This window comes from Homo sapiens, chromosome 20 (assembly GCF_000001405.40).
Source record: "Homo sapiens chromosome 20, GRCh38.p14 Primary Assembly".
Classification (NCBI taxonomy): Eukaryota; Metazoa; Chordata; class Mammalia; order Primates; family Hominidae; genus Homo; species Homo sapiens.
This window is the reverse complement of record NC_000020.11, coordinates 35,470,421-35,491,108: the sequence shown is the minus strand read 5'-3', so window position 1 is coordinate 35,491,108 and position 20,688 is coordinate 35,470,421. Positions and strand designations below refer to the sequence as shown.

The 20,688-nt window shown below is 45.3% G+C and overlaps 1 protein-coding gene and 1 long non-coding RNA gene across 33 annotated transcripts in view, besides 1 other annotated feature; one reads left to right on the top strand and one right to left on the bottom strand.

Moving 5' to 3' along the window:
- CEP250 (centrosomal protein 250) overlaps nucleotides 1-20,688 on the bottom strand; it is a 64,116-nt gene that overhangs the window by 28,172 nt on the left and 15,256 nt on the right. For 18 of the 26 annotated variants that reach the window (XM_006723691.2, XM_047439854.1, XM_005260262.5 and 15 more), the window contains 11 exons: nucleotides 18,958-19,059; nucleotides 18,278-18,436; nucleotides 17,557-17,735; nucleotides 17,057-17,239; nucleotides 15,463-15,607; nucleotides 14,514-14,660; nucleotides 13,008-13,238; nucleotides 11,685-11,878; nucleotides 11,336-11,463; nucleotides 10,964-11,133; nucleotides 305-472 (listed from right to left, as the gene is read on the bottom strand). In XM_006723691.2, the coding sequence (XP_006723754.1) occupies nucleotides 305-472; nucleotides 10,964-11,133; nucleotides 11,336-11,463; nucleotides 11,685-11,878; nucleotides 13,008-13,238; nucleotides 14,514-14,660; nucleotides 15,463-15,607; nucleotides 17,057-17,239; nucleotides 17,557-17,735; nucleotides 18,278-18,436; nucleotides 18,958-19,059 (1,806 nt within the window). 26 annotated transcript variants of the gene reach the window in all.
- Nucleotides 127-19,454, top strand: CEP250-AS1 (CEP250 antisense RNA 1). Of its 7 annotated transcripts, NR_184016.1 has the most exons (5): nucleotides 127-253; nucleotides 9,858-9,976; nucleotides 11,774-11,895; nucleotides 13,071-13,112; nucleotides 14,434-19,454. It is a non-coding gene; the product is annotated as a CEP250 antisense RNA 1 (long non-coding RNA). The 7 variants fall into 7 exon arrangements; NR_184015.1 differs by lacking the exon at nucleotides 9,858-9,976; NR_184013.1 differs by lacking the exons at nucleotides 11,774-11,895; nucleotides 13,071-13,112 and adding an exon at nucleotides 13,164-13,283.
- Nucleotides 169-328: an enhancer, noted in NCBI's record as "active region_17785". NCBI's record gives its function as "activates an Ori minimal core promoter by ATAC-STARR-seq in GM12878 lymphoblastoid cells {active_cell/tissue: GM12878}" and the evidence as "EXISTENCE:reporter gene assay evidence [ECO:0000049][PMID:35858748]".

The following is a 20,688-nucleotide window of genomic DNA, read 5'->3' as shown; positions in this document are numbered from 1 at the left end:
GGGAAGGGGCTGAGGGCAAAGGAAGGTCTGAGCCCATGGGTTCAGAACAAGGAAGTGCAAAGATTACCACTGGTTTGCAAGCTGACAGGATGTGGTACATGTCAGCCCTCCCTCAGGAAGTATGACATACTGCCGGAACTGTGGCTAATGGTGCGGACCACCCTGCTCACTGTTAGCAAAGTGGGTAGCTACCCTCTCTTCTGGAAGCCCCTCTGCAGCACTCCTCTTGGGAGTAGAAAAGGAAGTGGTCAAGGTAAGGAGATCGCTGACTGGACGTGCAGCTCCAATCCTCCTAGCTTCCCACCTGGCATAGGGCACTCTCTGCCTGGGTCCGTTCTTCTTCCCTCTGGGCCTGGATGGCCTCCATTTCTGTCTGCTGCTCCTTTAGCCTCATTTCCAGCTCCATTTTTTCCCTTTCTAAGCTCTCCAGAGCCTTTGCCAGCTCCTGCTGGTGCCAGGAGCGCTCCTTCTCCTGGCCACATGAAGGAAACACCATTAGAACCAAATGGGTGAGGAGGGGAGGCAGGGGTACTGGATTGGAAAAACAAAGTCTCTCTACTACTCACTAGTGGGGTGACCTTGGTACCTCTCTAAGCCTGTTGCCTCATCTGTAAAGCAAGGCTAATATTCCCTGCCTTATCTATCTTACCAAATTTCATGACAACCAAATGAGATTCATTTTAAAAAATAAAATTATATAATACATGTGGAAGTACCTTCCAAACTGCAATTGTCCCTTATATATGCTACAAGTATCTGGGTTTTAAAATGTATTTCTATTTTTAATTTTTTTTTGGAGACGGAGTCTTGCCCTGTCACCCAGGCTGGACTGCAGTGGCACGATCTCCGCTCACTGCAACCTCCACCTTTCAGGTTCAAGTGATTCTCCTGTCTCAGCCTCCCTAGCAGCTGGGACTACAGGTGCCCCCCACCATGCCCAGCTAATTTTTGTATTTTTAGTAGAGATGGGGTTTCAACATGTTGGCCAGGCTGGTCATGAACTCCTGACCTCAAGTGATCTGCCTGCCTCGGCCTCCCAAAGTGCTGGGATTATAGGCATGAGCCACTGTGCCTAGCCTAGGCATTCTTATTTTTAGAGATGGGGTCTCACTATGTTGCCCAGGCTGGACTCGAACTCCTGGGCGCAAGTGGTCCTCCTGCCTCAGCCTCCTGAGTAGCTAAGAACACAGGGGCATGACACCACACACAGCTCCGTATTTGTTATCTTTAAAGCAGCCACATTGTGGTTGACAGTTGTAACAATGAACTGAGGCGGCCAATTCTGGCTGTCTGCTGCCTGCTCTCCTCTACTCAGAGTTGCAGAGTTAGCCCCTGAAGAATCAGGCCTGGCCCAGTGAGGATGTCTCCCTGTATTATATAAGAGCATTAGGATAGGGGTGCTTCTTGTCTTAGCGGTCTTCCAGCAACCAAAGCTTTCCCAAGCTCTCTGACTAGTTCAGGACCCTCTATTAGGTGTACAGGATAGAGGTGAAGGGCTCTGGAGTTGGGCTGCCTGGGTGGAGAATCTTTAATCTACCACTACTAGCATGATCTCAATTTCTAAACAACTCTGTGCCTCAGTTTCTTCATCTATTAAAATGGGGATAACAACAGTGTCATTCTCCTCAGGTTGTATTGAGGATGGAGATAAGTCATGTGAATCACTTTAAATGTGCGTAGCACACAGAAAGCGGGCAATACACAACAGCCAGCATCATCATCACATTAGTATTCCCTGCACTTTTCCTTTAAAATGCTTGTAAGTTTGTCGTTGCTTATTCATGTAATGGGAACGCCTCTAGTGTTTCAGCCTTCCCAGTGTCATCCTGTGCAGCTTTCCCCCTCATTCACTACACCCTGGCTACACACACTTGCCTCCTTGCAGGTCCTTGAGCACACTAAGCACTTTTTTTTTTTTTTTGAGACAGAGTCTCACTCTATCGCCCAGGCTGGAGTGCAGTGGGGTGATCTCGGCTCACTGCAACCTCTGCCTCCCAAGTTCAAGTGATTCTCCCGCCTCAGCCTCCCAAGTAGCTGGGATTACAGGCGCCCGCCACCACTCCCAGCTATTTTTTTTGTATTTTTAGTAGAGACATGGTTTCACCACGTTGGCCAGGCTGGTTTTGAACTCCTAACCTCAAGTGATCTGCCCGCTTAGGCCTCCCAAAGTGCTAGGATTACAGGTGTGAGCCACTGCACCCAGCCAACATGTTCATGCCTTAGAGCCTTTACTCATGCTTCCTTCTACCTGGAAAGCCCTTCTCCCCCCTACTCCATCATTCCTCACGCCTAAACTAACACTTCCTTGGTGAAGCCTTCCCAGACCATACAATTGACAGTGGTCTGGCTGGACGTGGTAGTTCACATATATTATCCCAACATTTTGCGAGGCCGAGGTAGGATGATCACTTGAGCCCAAGAGTTTGAGACCAGCCTAGGCAACATGGTGAAACCCCTTATCTACAAAAAATGCAAAAATTAGTCAGGTGTGGTGGTTCACTCCTGTGGTCCCAGCTACTTGGGAGGCTGAGGTAGGAGGATCACTTGAGCCCAGGAGGGCCTTGAGGGTGAGGCTGCCGTTAAGCCCTGATCACGCCACTGCACTCCAGCCTGGGCAACAGAGCAAGACCCTGTCTCAAAAGAAATAATAATAATAAAAAGAAAAAAAAGAGGTCTTCCTTTGTTCTTCCTTATAAAACCCGGCAATGTGTAATGTCAGTTACAGGACAGTCATGAATGACAAATCATTTTACCCTCTGGTTCAAAAAGCCAAAGACAGCGGGTATAGCTCAGTGGCAGAGTATGTGACTGCAAAAAGCCAAAGCCAACTGTAAAAATATGAAAAAGATGAATGTTAATAGCAGTTGCAAGTGTTAAAAAAACTGATCTATTTGCTCTATGTGAGTTAGAAGTGTGTTATAGCTACAAGAAGAGCTAATTCTGTGATGTGTAGGAAGTAACAGTCCAGCATTGCTGGTATGACCATGAACAGAATATTCTGCCCAGTTCAAAGTGCCACCTTTACACCACTGGGACATGAGTAAATTGTAACATGCCTAGAAGAAAGCAACCATGTTGGTGGGGTATTTCAAGCAAATCTAAGGCTCATTTGTTCCTGGTAATAGGTTTTGGTTCAACATGAATTTCCTAATAACTAGATCTATCTAAAATAAATGGGCAGCCAAGTGATGGAATACAATAGCAGCTAAGCAACCATTTGGAAGGGACATTACAGAGGTGGATAAAAAAGAAATGGTTAGGAGTTTGGGCCCTGAATCCCTTTTCTACCCCTTATTAGCCATGTAACCCTGACTTCTCTTTTTATATTTTATTTATTTAGAGATGGGGATCTTGCTATGTTGCCCAGGCTGGTCTCGAACTCCTGGCCTCTAGCGATCCTTTCGCCTTGGCCTCCCAAATTGTTGGAATTACAGGTGTGAGCCACCACGCCCAGCCCTGAGTGACTTCTCCATGCATTTATTCACCTTTATTGTGTGAATAAAGCATTCAGCATGGTGCTTGGCATGGGGAGGTGCTTAACAAGTGTCCAATATCATTACTCTTAAAGGGGAGACAGACAGTAGATGGAAGAATAAAGAATACAACTGCCAAGAGTGTTTCTTTTTCTTTTTTTTCTTTGAGACAGAGTCTCACTCTGTTGCCCAGGCTGGAGTGCAGTGGTGCGATCTTGGCTCACTGCAACCTCCACCTCCCTGGTTCAAGCAATTCCCCTGCCTCAACCTCCCAAGTAGCTGGGATTACAGGTGCATGCCACCACGCCTGGCTAATTTTTTTGTATTTTTAGTAGAGACGGGGTGTCACCAGGTTGGCCAGACTGGTCTCAAACTCCTGACCTTGGGCAATCCGCCCACCTCGGCCTCCCAAAGTGCTGGGATTACAGGTGTGAGCCACCACGCGCGGCCTCCCAAGAGTGCTTCTAATTGCCAGGATTCCAGGAGAAGGCAGTCACTGCTAAAACGAACAGGCTGTCGAGAGTTTTAAGAGGGCAGTTGACCTGCTCAATCATAGAGAAATAATAAAGTGGGACAATCAGAAGTCAGGAGGATTAGCTGAATGACAGAAAAGGAAAAGAGAGAAAAGGCCCTTTCATGACCCAGATATGGCCACTATAGTCAATCCTTTTAGGGAAACCAAGGCCACGTAGGTAGCTGGCTTATCATTCAGAAGTTTTATAGCATCTTTTATTTATGGAGTTTTCAGTACATGGTATACATCTGATTCCTGCTAGAATCAGTGTTCATTCAACAAATACTTTTAAGCACCGACTATAGACTAGGCACAGAATTCCAAAAATAAGCAAACTTCTGGTTATCATCTTGCCAATAAGCCTGCCTCATAATAACAATCAAATTACAAATACACATAAAGCACAAGTCAACTTCCATTTCCAGATACTTGATAAACAAGATCTCTGAACCCTCCAGCTACGAAATCGCAAAAAATGCTGGATAAAATATTAAATATGTATTTTAATGTATCACAGAACCAGCAGGAAAATAATAAAAATTCCACAGAAGCCAAAAGCAAAGCAAGACTTGTGGTGTAGGCCAGGTGTGGTAGTTCATACCTATAATCCCAGCAGTTTGGGAGGCTGTGGCAGGAGGATTGCTTGAAGCTAGGAGTTCAAGACCAGCCTAGGCAACAAAGTGAGATCACATCTCTACCAAAAAAAAAAAAAATTAGCCAGGCATGATGGTGCATGCCTGTAGTCCTAGCTAGTCTGGAGGCTGAGGCAGAAGGATTGCTTAAGCCCAGGAGCTTGAAGCTTCAGTGAGCTAGAGTTGTACAGTGCAGTTGTACAACTGCACTCCAGCCTGGGCAATAGCAAGACCTTGTCTTGAGGTCAGGAGTTCGAGACCAGCCTGGCTGATGTGGTGAAACCCAGTGTCTACTAAAAATGCAAAAATTAGCCAGGTGTGGTAGCATGCGCCTGTAATCCCAGCTACTTGGGAGGCTGAAGCACGAGAATTGCTTGAACCCAGGAGGCGGAGCTGAAACAGCACCACTGCCTGTGCAACAGAGCAAGACTGTGTCTCAAAAAAAAAAAAAAAAAAGTAAATCCACTATCTTTCACCCAATGCAAATGTAATTCAGAATTTAAAATAAAAATAAAAATAAGCCAGGTGGCTGGGCGTGGTGGCTCACGCCTGTAATCCCCAGCACTTTGGGAGGCCAAGGTGGGCAGATTACCTGAGCCCAGGAGTTCAAGACCAGCCTGGGTAACATGACGAAACCCCATCTCTATAAAAAAAAAAAAAAAAAAAACTTAGCCAGGCATGGTGGTTCATGCCTGTGGTCCCAGCTACTCAGGAGGCTGGAGAGGATCACTTGAGCCCGTGAGGTAGAGGCTGCAGTGAGCCATGATTGTACCATTGCACTGTAGCCTGAGTGACAGAGCAAGACCCTGTCTCAAAAAAAAAAAAAAAAAAAAAAAAAAAAAAAGCCAGGCAGACGCTGTAGTCCTAGCTACTTAGGAGGCTGAGGCAGGAAGATCACTTGAGCCTGGGAGTTTGAGGCTGCAGTGAGCTATGATTGTGCCACTATACTCTAGCCTGGGTGACCAGAGCAAGACCTTATCTCTAAACAAAACAAGCAAACAAACAAAAATCTGGACTGGGGTTAACAAATTATAGTATGTGGACCAAATCTGGCTCACCACCTGTTGCTCTCTGGCTATGAGCTAAGAGTGGTTTTTACTTTTTTTTTTTTTTTTTGAGACAGAGTCTCACTCTGTCGCCCAGGCTGGAGTGCAATGGTGCGATCTTGGCTCACTGCAACCTCCACCTCTCAGGTTCAAGCGATTCTCCTGTTCAGCCTCCCAAGTAGCTGGGACTACAGGCATGTGCCACCACACCCGGCTAATATTTTTGTATTCTTAGTAGAGATGGAGTTTCACCATGTTGGCCAGACTGGTCTTGAACTCCTGACTTCAGGTGATCCGGCCACCTAGGCCTCCCAAAGTGCTGGGATTACAGGCGTAAGCCACTGCGCCCAGCCTTTACCTTTTTTTTTTTTTTTTTTTTAAAGAGATAGGGTCTTGCTATGTTGCCCAGGTTGGTCTCAACCAATCGTCCTGCCTCAGCCTCCCAAAGTGGTGGGATTATAGGCATGAGCCACTGCACCCAGCCTTTACATTTTTAATGGTAGAAAACAATAATGTTTTGTGACATGCGAAAATTATATGAAATTCTCATTTCAGTATCTATACATAAAGTTTTATCTGAGCACAGTCATGCTCATTTGTTTATATATGGCTGCTTTGCACTACAATTGCAAAGTTAGATAATTGTAACAGAGACCATATGGTCTGCAAAGCCTAGCATATAGTCCTTAACAAAAAGCCAGACATGGTGGACTGTGCCTGTGGTCCCAGCTACTCAGGAGGCTGAGACAGGAGGATCCCTTGAGCCCAGGAGTTCAAGATCAGACTGAGCAACATAGTGATAGTCCATCTCTAGAAAGAAAAAAAAAAATGCCTATCTCTGGGCTGTAGTGACCTCAGCTTAAGGGGGAAAAGGCAAAAAGAAGGAGGACATGGGGAGGAAGGGAGAAAAAGAGAAACTGGAGGGATGTGGAGAGGGGACAAAACAAAATAAACTCTATAGAAGGAAATTATCAAGGAAATATGCTTATCTCAACTTTGATACAGGGTAGGAAAAAAGTCTCCTCTGAAAATTCATAACCACAAGCTGAGCTGCACATGGGGTCTGGGCCTGACTGTGGGTCAAAAAACTTTAAACAGAAAATTTACTTTAAGGTGGTCCTGGGATGCTAGTCCTCCAGCTTCCTGACAGAAGCACAAATCCTCTGAGGAAAAACTCCTTTGCCTCAGGCCTAAAAAGATTCCCACAGAAAACCTTCCTCAGAACAAAGGTCTCTGGGGGAAAAAAGAAAAAAAGAAAAAAGAAAAAAAAAGGAAAATTTCCAAAGACATGCTCATAGACAAGAATCACAAAAACACAGGGAAACAAGCCCATGAGTAAGAGCCAACAGAAACAACAAATTACAGAACTAGACCCCAAAACGTTAATTAAAAGTTATTGGAATTACTAGACAGGACACAAGTATGTTTCATATGTTTAAAAGAATGGACTGAAAATACAAATTAGGGAAAACAGACTGAAAAAAATGACCAAGAAGATATGAAAAAATAACCAAATAAAATATCTAGAAATAAAAAATTTAAAAAGTGAAATTTAAAACTTGGTGAATAGAATAAACATCAGATTCGACACAGCTGAAAAGGAAAATCAGTAACTAGATGAGAGATCTGAAAAAAATAATCCAGAACACAGCATACAAAGAGAAAAGTAAACATGTAAAATGCAAGAGGCAGTGAAGATACATGAAGGATAGAGTAAAAAGGTCTGACATACAACTAACCAGAGTACAGAAAGAGAGAAGAAAGTAGGAAAAGAGCCAGGTATGGTGGCGTGCACCTGTAGTCCCAGCTTATGTGGGAGGCTGAGGCAAGAGGACAGCTTGAGCCCAGGAGTTCGAGACCAGCCTGGATAACATAGCAAGACCCATCTCTAAAAAAAAAAAAAATTAAAATTAAAATTAAAAAATTAGCTGGGCATGGTGGCATGTGCCTGTAGTTGCAGTTCGTCGGAGGCTGCGGCAGGAGGACTCACTTGAGCTCAGGAGTTTGAGGCTGCAGTGAGCTATGATTGTATCATTATACTCCAGCCTGGGTAACAGAGCAAGACCCTGTCTCTAAAAAATAAAATAAAATAAATTTAAAAAAAAAAATTTTTTTTTTTTTTTGAGACGGAGTTTCGTTCTTGTTGCCCAGGCTGGAGTGTAATGGCGCGATCTCAGCTCATCGCAACCTCCACCTCCCAGGTTCAAGCGATTCTCCTGCCTCAGCCTCCCTAATAGCTAGGATTACAGACATGTGCTACCACACTCGGCTAATTTTGTATATTTAGTAGAGACGGGGTTTCTCCATGTTGGTCAGGCTGGTCTCGAACTCCTGACCTCAGGTGATCCGCCCACCTCAGCCTCCCAAATTACTGAGATTACAGGCATGAGCCACTGCAATTGGCCAAAAAAAAATTTATTTTAAAGAGTAAATAAATAAAAGCAGGACAGTAGGAAAGAGGTAATATTGAAGAGATAATATATAAGAATTTTCCAGAATTGATATTTCAACATGAAATCTTAAATTCAGGATGTCTAAGAAATTCCAACCAAATAAAAGAAATACACATCTAAACACAAGAAATTGCCAGGCGTGGTCTCACGCCTTTAATCCCAGCCCTTTGGGAGGCCGAGGTGGGTGGATCACTTGAGCCCAGGAGTTTGAGACCAGCCTGGGCAACATGGTGAAACCCCATCTCTACTAAAAATACAAAAAAATTAGCTGGGCATGGTGGTACGTGCCTGTAATCCCAGCTACTCTAGAGGCTGAGGCAGAAGAACTGCATGAACTCAAGAGGTGGAAGTTACAGTGAGCCGAGATTGCACCACTGCACTCAAGCCTGGGTGACAGAGCAAGACTCTGTCTCAAAAAAATAAAAAATAAAAAAAAATATAAAAAAATAAATAGCCGGGCACGGTGGCTCACGCCTGTAATCCCAGCACTTTGGGAGGCCGAGGCGGGTGGATCATGAGGTCAGGAGATCGAGACCATCCTGGCTAACACGGTGAATACAAAAAATTTTTGTATTTACTAAAAATACAAAAAATTAGCCGGGCATGGTGGTGAGCGCCTGTGGTCTCAGCTACTTGGGAGGCTGAGGCAGGAGAATGGCGTGAACCCAGAGGCGGACCTTGCAGTGAGCCAAGATTGCGCCACTGCACTCCAGCCTGGGCAACAGAGCGAGACTCCGTCTCAAAAAACAAACAAACAAAAAAATAATAATAAACACAAGAAACTGTGGAATGATTAAAATGAAAGCTAACTTCTCAATACCAACAATGTTGAGAGAAAATAATTGTCATCCTAGAAACTTATATCTGAATGTTTTACTTAGTGAATCTATCTATCTATCTATCTATCTATCTATCTATCTATCTATCTATCTATCTATCTATTTTTTAAGCCTGAACAAAGCCAGAAACTATCTTTCAAGAATAAAAGTAGGCTGGACATGGTGGCTCACCTCTGTAATCCCAACACTTTGGGAGGCCAAGGGCGGGTGGATCGCTTGAGCCCAGGAGTTTGAGACCAGCCTGGGCAACATGGTGAAACCCTGTCTCTACCAAAAATAAAATTAGCTGGGTGTGATGGCATATGCCTATAATCCCAGCTACTTGGGAGGCTGAGGTGGGAGGATCACCTGAGCCCAGGAGGCCAAGGCTGCAGTAGGCCATGATCACATGACTGCACTCCAGTCTAGGCGACAGAGTGAGACCCTGCCTCAATAAAAGAATAAAAATAAAATAGAAACATCTTCAGACAATTAACTACCAACAGACCCTTACCAAAGAAAATCCTACTTCAGGCAAAAAAAAAAAAAAAAAATCTGAATAGAAAGTCTGACATGCAAGAAGGTATGGTGAACAGAAAAGGTATCAATTCGTTGTATCTGAACAAATATTGACTGTATAAAACAATAAAAAAATCATAATTTGTGGTGTTAAACTAGTTAGAACTGAACACACTGAACAAAATAGCCTATAAATTAGGGAGCAGTGAAACAAGTAAAATGTTCTTTTTTGCTTTTGAGACAGGGTCTCACTCTGTCACTCAGGCTGGAGTGCAGTGGTGCTCAGCTCACCACAGCCTCAACCTCCTAGGCTCAAGTGATCCTCCCACCTCAGCCTCCCAAGTAGCTGGGACTACAGTGTGTACCACCATGCCTGGCTAATTTTTGTATTTTTTTTTGTAGGGAATGGGGTTTCGCCGTGTTGTCCAGGCTGGTCTCAAACTCCTGGGCTCAAGCAATCTGCCCACCTCAGCCTCCCAAAGTGCTGAGATGACAGGCATGAGCCACTGTCCCTGGCCCAGGTAAAATGTTCTAAGACCCTTGTATCGTTCAGGAAAAGGGTAAAACTACTGAACCTTGAGATTTTATTAAGTATATGTTTAAAAATATTAAAGGTAACCACTAACAGGATTTTTAAAATAAAGTATATATCATCCACAGTTGCAGAGAGAAAAAAGAGGTGAGAAAAGAATACAACTTAATCACCCAACTTAATCCTCTAAAAGAAGTTAAGAAAGGAGATTTCCCCTCCCTAAAAGATATAAAAATGGCCAGGCACAGTGGCTCACAGCTGTACCCTGCACTTTAGGAGGCTGAGGCAGGTGGATCACGAGGTCAGTTTGAGACCAGCCTGGCCAACATGGTGAAACCCCATCTCTACTAAAAATACAAAAATTAGCCAGATGTGGTGGCACACACCTGTAATCCCAGCTACTTAGGAGACTGAGGCAGGAGAATCGCTTGAACCCAGGAGGCGGAGGTTGCAGTGAGCCAAGAATGCACCACTGTACTCCAGCCTGAGGGACAGAGTGAGACTGTCTCAAGGAAAAAAAAAAAAAAAAAAGATATAAAAAAGCAAGACAAATAACATAAGATGGCACAAATAAATCCAAATACACCTAAAACCACAATAAAACCAAATGGACTAAATTACATTATTAAAAGACAAAACACAGTTCTGAACTGCACAAGAATGCATCCAAGATATTCCTCTCCCCCGTTTTCATCCTGAGGCCAGTTTAATAATCCTAAATCCCAGGGTCCACTCTCAATTCTCTGTACACACCAACACAACAACAATAATAATGGCTAACACATATAGGGAGCCCACCACATGCTAGGAACTACTCTTAGTGCTTTTCATATATTAACTCATTTAATAGCAGGAAGTTGGATTTTACAGCTTGGTTACAAAATTTCACTCATACGAGCAGCAATAACTGGACCAAGAGGCAGCAGGTAGAGCACTCATGGAAGGGAGGCCATACCCGGCCACATTGACCACTTACCCATTTCTCCCGGAGCTGGTTCACCTCTTTCTCATGGGCTGCCTTCTGCTGCTCCAAGGCAGTCTTCCCTTCTTGCTCAGCCTGGGCCAGCTGTCTGGCTGCAGCATCCCGCTCCTGCTCTGCCTGACTCCGTTCAGTGTCCAGTTCCAGCTTCAGGCACCTCACTTCCCCTAACATGCCAGGGACAGGATCAGGCCTCCGCCCCCTCCTTTTACCTAATAAAATTCTCCCTCTCCCCTGACCTCATGAGCAACTCCCATCTCAGAGGCCCTGCACCCTGCTGGAGAAGGACCTCTAATAGTCTCCCACCATCTTCCTGCCTTTCAACATCTCCATGGAATGGAGTGCATCCCATCCCAGTTGGGTTCTCACCTTGGATTACTTCCTTGGCTTGAGTGACAGTTTGAATCTGGACCTCCAGCTGCCCCTTGGTGACCTCTATCACAGAATTTTGTTGTTGGGCTTCAAACAGACTGCTCTCCAGTAGCTCCTTGGCTGAGCTGTGAGGTTCAGGAATCAGAAGAGTTTCTTACCCATCAAGCCCCTTACCCTTCCTCAAGAGGAGCTGGGTTCTAAGTATTGGCTACCTGGAGAAGTTAGGGGGGCAATTATAAATTCATAATCAATTTAGGACCTGCATACTTATGGCAGGGAGCTTAGCTTCACGCCTTTGCCTTGCAAAGCTCTCTCTGTGCTTGGCTGAACTGAGTCTGGGCCCTACCTGAGCCCCTGTAGTTGTTCAGCGAGGTCCTGCCGGTCACGCTCCACGGCCTGCAGCCGCACCTCTAGAGCCGCTTTCTCTCGTACTAGGGCCTCCTTCTCCTGGACTGCCCTGGCAAGCACTTCTTCCTGTCGCTTTGCCTCCTGATGTAGCTGCTCCAGCTGAGTCGTGGCTGCCTCCTGCTGGTGACGTGACTGAGGGGAAGAATGTGGTGAGAGATGGAGCAGAGGCTGGATTCCCCTGGGGCCGCTACCACCAGGTTAGGGTCATTGCCTCTTCAGAGATTCTGGACCCAGCTCTGTGAGCCCGGATTGCTTACCCAATAGCACGTGGCATTTATCTATTTCCCTGATCCGCCCACAGAGCCCCCAGCCCAGGAAGAATGCTCCCCTGTGAGCAAGACCCTGTGCTAGGGACAGCAGAAGACCTGCCCCTAAGGAGGTTTTGGCCTTGAGAAGATGCACACATAATACTGGGAAGAAAGTCATCAATGTCCCGAGAAAGGGACTCTGTGAAGGGAGAGTCCGTACAATTATTAGGACAATGAGAGGTTTTGTAGAGGAGAAAGATGACCTTTGAGCCAGGTCATTCATTGGCTCAGGAAAAAAATTTACTTGGCCCCTGTTATGTGGTAGGCACTATGCTAAAAGCTGGAGAAATAAAAACAAATAAGATATAGCTTTGCCTTCAAGGAGCTTTTGGTCTAATGGTAGAGACATATAAACAGATAATTATAGCATGAGGAATGTGGTAGTTAAAATAAGCATGAGGTGCTATCAGAGTATAAGGAGAAGCTTCTAATTCAAACTGGGTGGTGTGAATGAAGTAGTGGAGAATCAGTGAAGAATTCTTTTTGTTTTTTTGAGCAGTGTCGCTCTGTCATCCAGGTTGGAGTGCAGTGGCGCAATCTCGGCTCACTGCAACCTCCGCCTCCCAGATTCAAGAGATTCTCCTGCCTCAGCCTCCCGAGTAGTTGGGATTACAGGCATGTGCCACCATGCCGGGCTAATTTTTGTATTTTTAGTAGAGACAGGGTTTCACTATGTTGGTCAGGCTGGTCTCGAACCTCTGACCTCGTGATCCGCCCGCCTCGGCCTCCTAAAGTGCTGGGATTACAGGCATGAGCCACTGCGCCCAGCCTCAGTGAAGAATTGTTATAGGCATTCTTTTTTAAAATTGGAAGATATACTGCAAACTAGTAACACTGGTCATTTCTAGGAAGTAAGACTTTTTCACTTTCCAGATAATTTCTGTAGTGTTTTAATTTTTTATAATGAGCATATATTACACCTAGACATGATGGTGTCCATTTTGGCTTCTCACCTCACTTAGTTTCTTTTGAATTTCTTCCTTCTCTTCTTGGATGTCCCTGAGATCTGCCTGCAGCTCAGCCCCAGCCTCCTCAGCTTTCTGCAGCTGAGCCTCCAGGTGAGTGTTCTTTTCCCACAGGGCTTCCCTCCTCTTCTCTGCCTCCGCCAGGTCGACCTGCAAAGCATTTCTCGCCTGCTCTGCGGCCTCCATTCTGCTGCACACAGACTGGTTCTCCTCCTCTAACTACTGGCCAAAAAGGGAAGGGAGTACAAGCATCAAAGACAAATGGTTAGTTTAGGAATCAAATGCTAAGACTGAAATCCAAGTGAGATATGAATCTATTCTCCAAAGATGAACAAAGGAGTGTTTATAAGATGGGGGAAAATCCATTCATTTGATCTAGTGCCTATATTCCAGGTACTAGATGGGCTGGATGCTGGGGACGGAGATATGCAAGGCAAAGTCCTGCTCTCAAATAATTCAGAATAATGGAATAGAGAACACTCAAGGAAACAGAGATTGCAAGGAGGTTCCCTCGCTATAATTATAGGTTAAATTTATAACCTATAGAAAAGATTCTTTGGGACTTAGGCTCTTCAGCAGATTCTTTTCTGGTGATTGCTATTATCTCACCCAACAGGATTAACAACCTAGACTTAGGCCGGGTATGGTGGCTCATGCCTGTAATCCCAGGACTTCAGGAGGCTGAGGTGGATGGATCACCTGAGGCCAGGAGTTCAAGATCAGCCTGGCCAACATGGTGAAACCCCATCTCTACTAAAAATACAAAAACTAGCCCAGGGCAGCCAAGTGTGGTGGCTCACGCCTGTAATCCTAGCACTTTGGGAGGCTGAGGCAGGTGGATCACCTGAGGTCAGGAGTTTGAGAACAGCCTGACCAACATTGTAAAACCCTGTCTCTATTAAAAATACAAAATTAGCCAGGCATGGTGGTGCATGCCTGTAATCCCAGATATTCAGGAGGCTGAGGCAAGAGAATTGCTTGAACCCGGGATGCAGAGGTTGCAGCGAGCCAAGATCGTGCCACTGTACTCCAGCCTGGGCAACAAGAGCAAAACTCCATCTCAAAAAAAAAAAATTAGCCAGGTGTGGTGACACATGCCTGTAATCCCAGCTACTCAGGAGGCTGAGGCAGGAGAATTGCTTGAACCCAGGAGATGAAAACTGCAGTTAGCTAAGATCGCACCACTGCACTCCAGCCTAGGTGACAGAGGGAGATCCATCTCAAGAAAACCCCAGCAAAAAACCTAGTCTTCCTTCCAGAGGACATGGGCCCCTTCCCAACCTTGGTGTCTTACCCTGAAGTCCAGAGGTGGTTCTGCTGGAGGTGTGGGAGGGGAATATTTATAATGGCTAAGCCCAATCCTTACAGTCTTTGCTCTCCTCTGCATTGTAAATGTTCCTTTTGCTCATTTCAGACCTACATTTGGGAGCTGATCCGTCTTGCTCTCAGTTAGGGCCCAGCCCTTCTGTGGGGACCAGGAAAATCTTTGCTCACCTGGAGAAGCTGCTGGTTCAGCCCAACTTTATCTAACGCCAAAGCCTCATTTAAGGCACTGAGCTTGACAGCTGCAGCCCGAAGATCAGCTACTTCTGTCTTCAGGGTGTTTTCAGAACTCGACAGCTCTGCAATTGACTGCTCTGCCTAAAAAACAAAAAGGATTAAAGAGTTTCATATTTCCAATTTTCCTGGAACAGTAAACAGTTCACATTCCCAACACTGCTGCTTTTTGGTACAGAGATCAGTTAATACTCCATTCCCTCTCCTGCATTCTAAACAAGTTTTCCCTTCATTCATTCATTAAGGAGTGAGACAGGACCTCACAGTATAGAGATACCAAAGTTAGGATAGAGAAATGACTATGATTGTAATGATGCCACAGAAAATGTAAGCACAAAGTGCTCTGGGAACTAAAAAAAATATTAATATAGTTTGGAAGAGTCAAATATGCTTGGTAGAGGAGTTGACGATTAAGTTGTGTACTGAGAGATGAGGAACAGTTTGCACATAAAGGAAGAGGAAAGAAGTAGTGCAGAGAAAGGGAAAAGTACACGCAGAGTATTAGAGTCATGAAGAACATGGAATAACTGAGAAGGCAATTACTGCTGTGGCAGGAGCAAAGGATATGAGGTGTTAGGATGGGTTTTGCAGTAGAAGGGGAGGCTAAAACACACTTTGAGGCACATGACAAAAAGCTTTGAATGTGGCACCACAGAGCTAGAAAGCCGTTGAATGGTTTTAAGAGACTGACATAACCAGGTATATACTTTAGAAAGCCCATTCTAATTCCAATATAGAGGGTATGTTGGAATAGAGAACCCAGAAGCAGACTAATGATTGAGGAAAGATGAGGGATCCTGGCTTGAAGGTGAAGAATGAGGCAGGCTGCATGGGAACACACTTTCGAAGCCGCCCACCCAGCAAGTGAGGAGAGGAGGCCACGCACCCTAGCCAGCGCTGCGGTCACTTCCGTTTGCTCTTGCCTCAGTAACTCCCCTTCCAGGTGACTTGACTCCAGGGCTTCCCGAAGAGTGATCAGTTCACTGAGTGATTCTGACTGTTTGGCTTCCAGGCCCATCAGCATCTCCTGACTAAGATGGGAAAGAGAGGGGTCTAGAGGAACTCTTAGGGATGGGCCATAACCCCAAAGGTAACAGGAATATAATCACCTTTGCTATGCAACAGAATGAGGATGGTCTATAAACACTGATAAGGAAAGATTTCTAAGACATGTCAAGTGAAAAAAATCAAGGTGCAGAACAGTATATACATGATACACTACCTTTTATGCAAGAAAGTGGGGGAAGAAAGAATATATGCCCGTATTTGCATGAAGGAGCACTGGCAAGATAAACAAGAAGTCAGCTAAAATGGTTGCCTAAAGGGGGAAGGGAAATGGGATGGAGAAAGCACAAATGAGAGTGAGACTTCTCTGTGTATCTTCTTAGCTCACTGAAGCCTCAAACTCCTGGGGGCTCATGTGATCCTCCCATCTCACCTTGCCATGGCTACAGGCACATGCCACCACATTCAGCTACAGCTAATTTTTTGTTGTTAGGGGTTGTCTGCCCTTCTCCTTGGTACAGGGAGATCATTCTTAGCACAAGTCATGACCCTTATGGCAGCCCTTCAAGCTTCCACTATTCATGCCTACCAGGTACAAGGAACTGGGGCACAGGAGAGGAGGGAAATACAGCAAAGATGAAGATATATCCCTGCTCCCAGTTATTAAAGACCTACCATATGCCAGGTTCTATGCTGGCGTTTTCCAAAACATTGCTCTCATCTTCCCAGCAACCCTTCAAGGTAAATATTATCATCATTCTACAAATAATCTGTCCATGTGACAGAGCCATAATTTAAACTAAGCTTCTGCCTAGCTCAAAGTCCTTGCTTTTTCTGTGACATCATATAGGGGAATTTACAGATTAGCTGGGGCCATTGATTCTGGATTTCCCTTTCTTGACCAGCTAGCACATTTCCCACTACTTCCCTGTATAAGTCTTACCCTTTAGCCAGCCCAGCCTACTCTGAACATGCCATGAACCTTCCTGCCGCCTTTTCTTTGCTAATCTGTTCCTTGAGCTCTTCTCCCACTCTCTGCTAACCAAATAGGTAAAGGCCCAGCTCAAAGTCTACTCTCTCCTCCATAAAGCATTTCCTAGTCTTCAATAATTAGCTGTCACTCCTGTGCTCCCAAAGGACTTGGTCTGAAACTCTATTTAACTCATACTTCATCCAGCCTCATGTCACAGTGAGTTGTCTGTCTTCTGGCAAGTTCCCTGAAATCAGGGCTTTTGTCTTATTCATTTCTGTATCCCCCTCAGTGTCTCATCCCATATGGGTGCTCAACTAAGACTTAACCAACCACGAACTTTCCATATTCATCTTTCTGCAAAGGAAGAAGCAGCAAGCTAATCTGAACCCACTGCATGCCAGACTTCTACATACTCTACTTTGTAACAGAGGGGAGTAGACGGGGAGGGTGTAGAATTGAAGAAAGACCAGGGCCCAGCGAGGAGGAGACTAGTCTCACTTACAGACGCTCCCTCTCCCGGACAGCCAGGTGCAGCTCCTCCTGCTGTTCCTCCTTCTGGCCCTGGGCAGAGTCCCCCTGCAGCTGAAGCTCCACATTTACCCTTCGCAGGCGCCATGCCTCCTGCTCTAGCACCTCCAGCTGCTGCCGCAGCTCTTCCCTGGCCTTCTGCAGCAGCTCTCGCTCCCTGGAAGAAGGGAATCAGAGATGAGCAGAGACCATAGGACCTAAAATTCTTTCTGGAAGCAGGCATCACAGGGCCAAGAGACCCTGTTTCAACATCCCATCTTCTGTTTCTAGTGCGAAACTTTTTTATCATCACAAAGACTCCAACCCCAAAAGCTTGTTCTGGAGAAACAAGTGAAACACTGGGCAAAACAGCCCTGAGTCTCAAGGAGAACAGGATCAGCACCCCAAAAACCTGATGGGAGTGGGTAAATGGCTGGATGGTGACTGAGACTGAGACCAGGCTGGGAGGGTGGGATGAACAGCCCGTCTGCTCACTTGCTGAGAGAGTCCACCTCTCCCTGGAGGTCCACAGTCTGCCCTGCCAGAGTGTCCCGCTCCCCAGTGAGCTTCTGCAGCCGCTGTCTCAAGGCTTTGCCCTCTTCCTCCCACTGATCATGCTGCTGTTGCAACAAGTTCACAGCCTCTTGACAGCCTGCAAGCTGCTGCCTTAGGTCCTGTGGAGAGAGAGCAAGAGAAACCAGATGATGAACAAGGGCAAAGGAGGGATGTCAGAACCCCGAAAGTGGGGCTGGAGAAGGGGGTCGGGGGCTGGTGCAACAAAAGAAAGCTGAGAAGGGAGATGCAACTATTCAAGAAGACAGGCCATCAGAGGTCATTGGGCTTCTGTGGCTCTAGATTCTTAGAGTTCGTCATCTCCAAATGTACAGTGGCATGGGGGAGTGGTAAGTGTGCCTAAGACTCTCAGAGTTGGAGAACGTTGACCCAATAATCTCCCAGGGCTCTGGTTCCCAATCTTTGCATACTGTTATGCAAAGATTGTACACAAAGTGAAGCATGCCATTGGCGTGGAGGATGTGCCTGCTACTCACAAGCACAATTCAGCAGACATAGGCAGATTTACTCTGGGATATTGACAGAACACCTCATGACTGGTCAAAAAAGTGAAAGGGATAGTCCAGGCTAGGGAGGTACCTGAGGCACAAACCAGTTTAGACACAAACCCCTGTGACTGAGGTGGAATGCTGAGGGTTCCTACCTGCACAGCCTGGCGTCTCCGAGTCAGCACTGAACGCACCAGAGTAAGAGCCTTGTCTGCATCCTGGTAATCAAACTGGGAGAAGATACTAGAGTCCAATTCCAAAGAGTTCTCATGACCAGAGCCTTGGGCTATATTGTCCCCTTCTTCCACCATGACCTGAAACCCAATACAGCAAGGTCACCACCCTACTGACCAAAGCCTAGAGTCTATAGAGGGACTTAACCCTATAGCCTGGACAAACCTGATGTTTTCCTTCTCAGGTCCTCTCCCCTGGGGGAAGGAGGGGAGTATCTGAGCATAAAAGTCTGGTTCCTTCAACTCTCCACCTTTGGTCACCCAAGTCTAGGACTAACAACAAGGCTAGAACACTGTCTGAGGTAACAATAAATGAGGAAATGAAAGAAGAAACGATTGAGATATTGAATACCAGAATCTAGCCTCCAGCCTGAGAACTGCAGCTAGAAACAGGAAAGAGGGCCTGTCCCATCAGGTAGTGCTAAACGTGAATGCTTAGCTATCTCTTAGGGTTCTGGTCTTCAAACACACAAAACTCATCCCCACAAGACTTTAAGCACCCGAACCTCAGAGACTGGAAATCTAGGCAGGACTGAAAGGACATGGAGACCTGGGGAGTGGAGGCATAACCTGGTTACCATGAACAGGAGGCTTCCCAGTACCTGGGTTATATCCTTGATCACCTGCTGTAAAGACAACTTCTCCTCTTGCGCATTCCTACTAAGAGATGCTTCATGTTCCATTAATTCTGTGTGATTTGTCTCCTGAACAGGGAATAGAACAGAGCCTCAGAGCCAAACTCTCAAAAGTGAATTTATTATTCCAGGACCCCAAACAACCAAAGTCTCATTCTGTCTATTCTATCAGCCCCACTTTTTCCCTGACCATATGTCAATGCTAATGTTGTCTGAAGAGTCTGAAGACAATGTGATGTGGTGATTACAAGTTTAGATTAAGTGATTACGAGTTCCAAATTGGACTTCACAGATTAGAATTCCTGCTCTATCACTTACTAGCTTCTATCACTTACTTCTTTTTCTTTAAAATAGAAATAATTACAGCAACTAGTTGTTTTGAGGCTTAAATGAAAAATGCATGTAAATTATTCAATATAGTGTCTGGAACAAAGCAAATGTTCAATAAATGTAAACTATTATTAGATAGGGGATGGGTGCTGTCTCTGAACAGTAAATGGATGCTTGAGACCTAATACTAAACCAGAGAATCCTCTAGCCCCAAAGCTAGACATAATCTTGAAGACTCAAGAGTTCCTCTCTTCCTTCCTATTTGTGTTAGTGAAGACCTAAAGACACAGACTTGCAACTATGTTTTATTTGGCTTATACAAAATTTGAATCAACATTTATAAATGGAAAGATTTTACATAAAAATATAAATTTCTGGCTTCTCCCAAAAAGTTAACAAATGGGCCACACCCAGCCCCCATTCCTACATGGAAACGATTTACTGAAGTTGAATGGTAGATGCCTCATCTAGATGAGACATTTATTATTGAGGGTCCCACAATCCCTATTGCTCCTCATGGCTTCCTTAATACTGAGCTCAAGTGTCCCCTGCAGTACTGAAAACTAAATACAACAAACAGCACTGGAAAACCAGAATTCTTACAACTGAACCCATTTCATTTATTTACATTATCTGAGCCCCATGGATATTCTGAATTGGCAAGTTCCTGAAAAAAAAAGAGGGAATCAGAAAGCTACAATTCCTGTTGATCTCAGCTTGGATGAGAAGACTAGGGGTGTACATATGAATAGGGGTTCAGGAGCTACCTAAAATCAGAGATCTGAAAACTTATAGAGATGAAACATGGTATTAAGCCAGAGGGTTCTAACATCCAACCTTAGAGAAGCCCTCTGATAACATCCCTGGCAGATGTTAAGCCAATGACCAAAACCTTACTCCTTCACAAGACAGGCTGTTCAACTACTTAACAGCTCTAGCTGTGAGCCAGAATCTATTCCCCTATTAACTTCTAGCTATTGACATTGGTTTTGCCCTGGAAAACATTAAATATGTAAACTCTCTTTTCTCTTTTTTGAGACGGAGTTTCACTCTTGTTGCCCAGGCTGTAGTGCAATGGCATAACCTCGGCTCACCACAACCTCCACCTCCCAGGTTCAAGTGATTCTCCTGCCTCAGCCTCCCGAGCAGCTGGGTTTATAGGCATGTGCCACCACGACCGGCTAATTTTTTTTATTTTTTTAGTAGAGACGGGGTTTCTGCATGTTGGTCAGGCCGGTCTCAAACTCCCGACCTCAGGTGATCTGCCTGCCTCAGCTTCCCATAGTGCTGGGATTACAGGCGTGAGCCACCGCGCCCGGCCCTTCATAAACTCTCTTTTCCCAGCGTCAGTCCTTCAGATATGTGAAG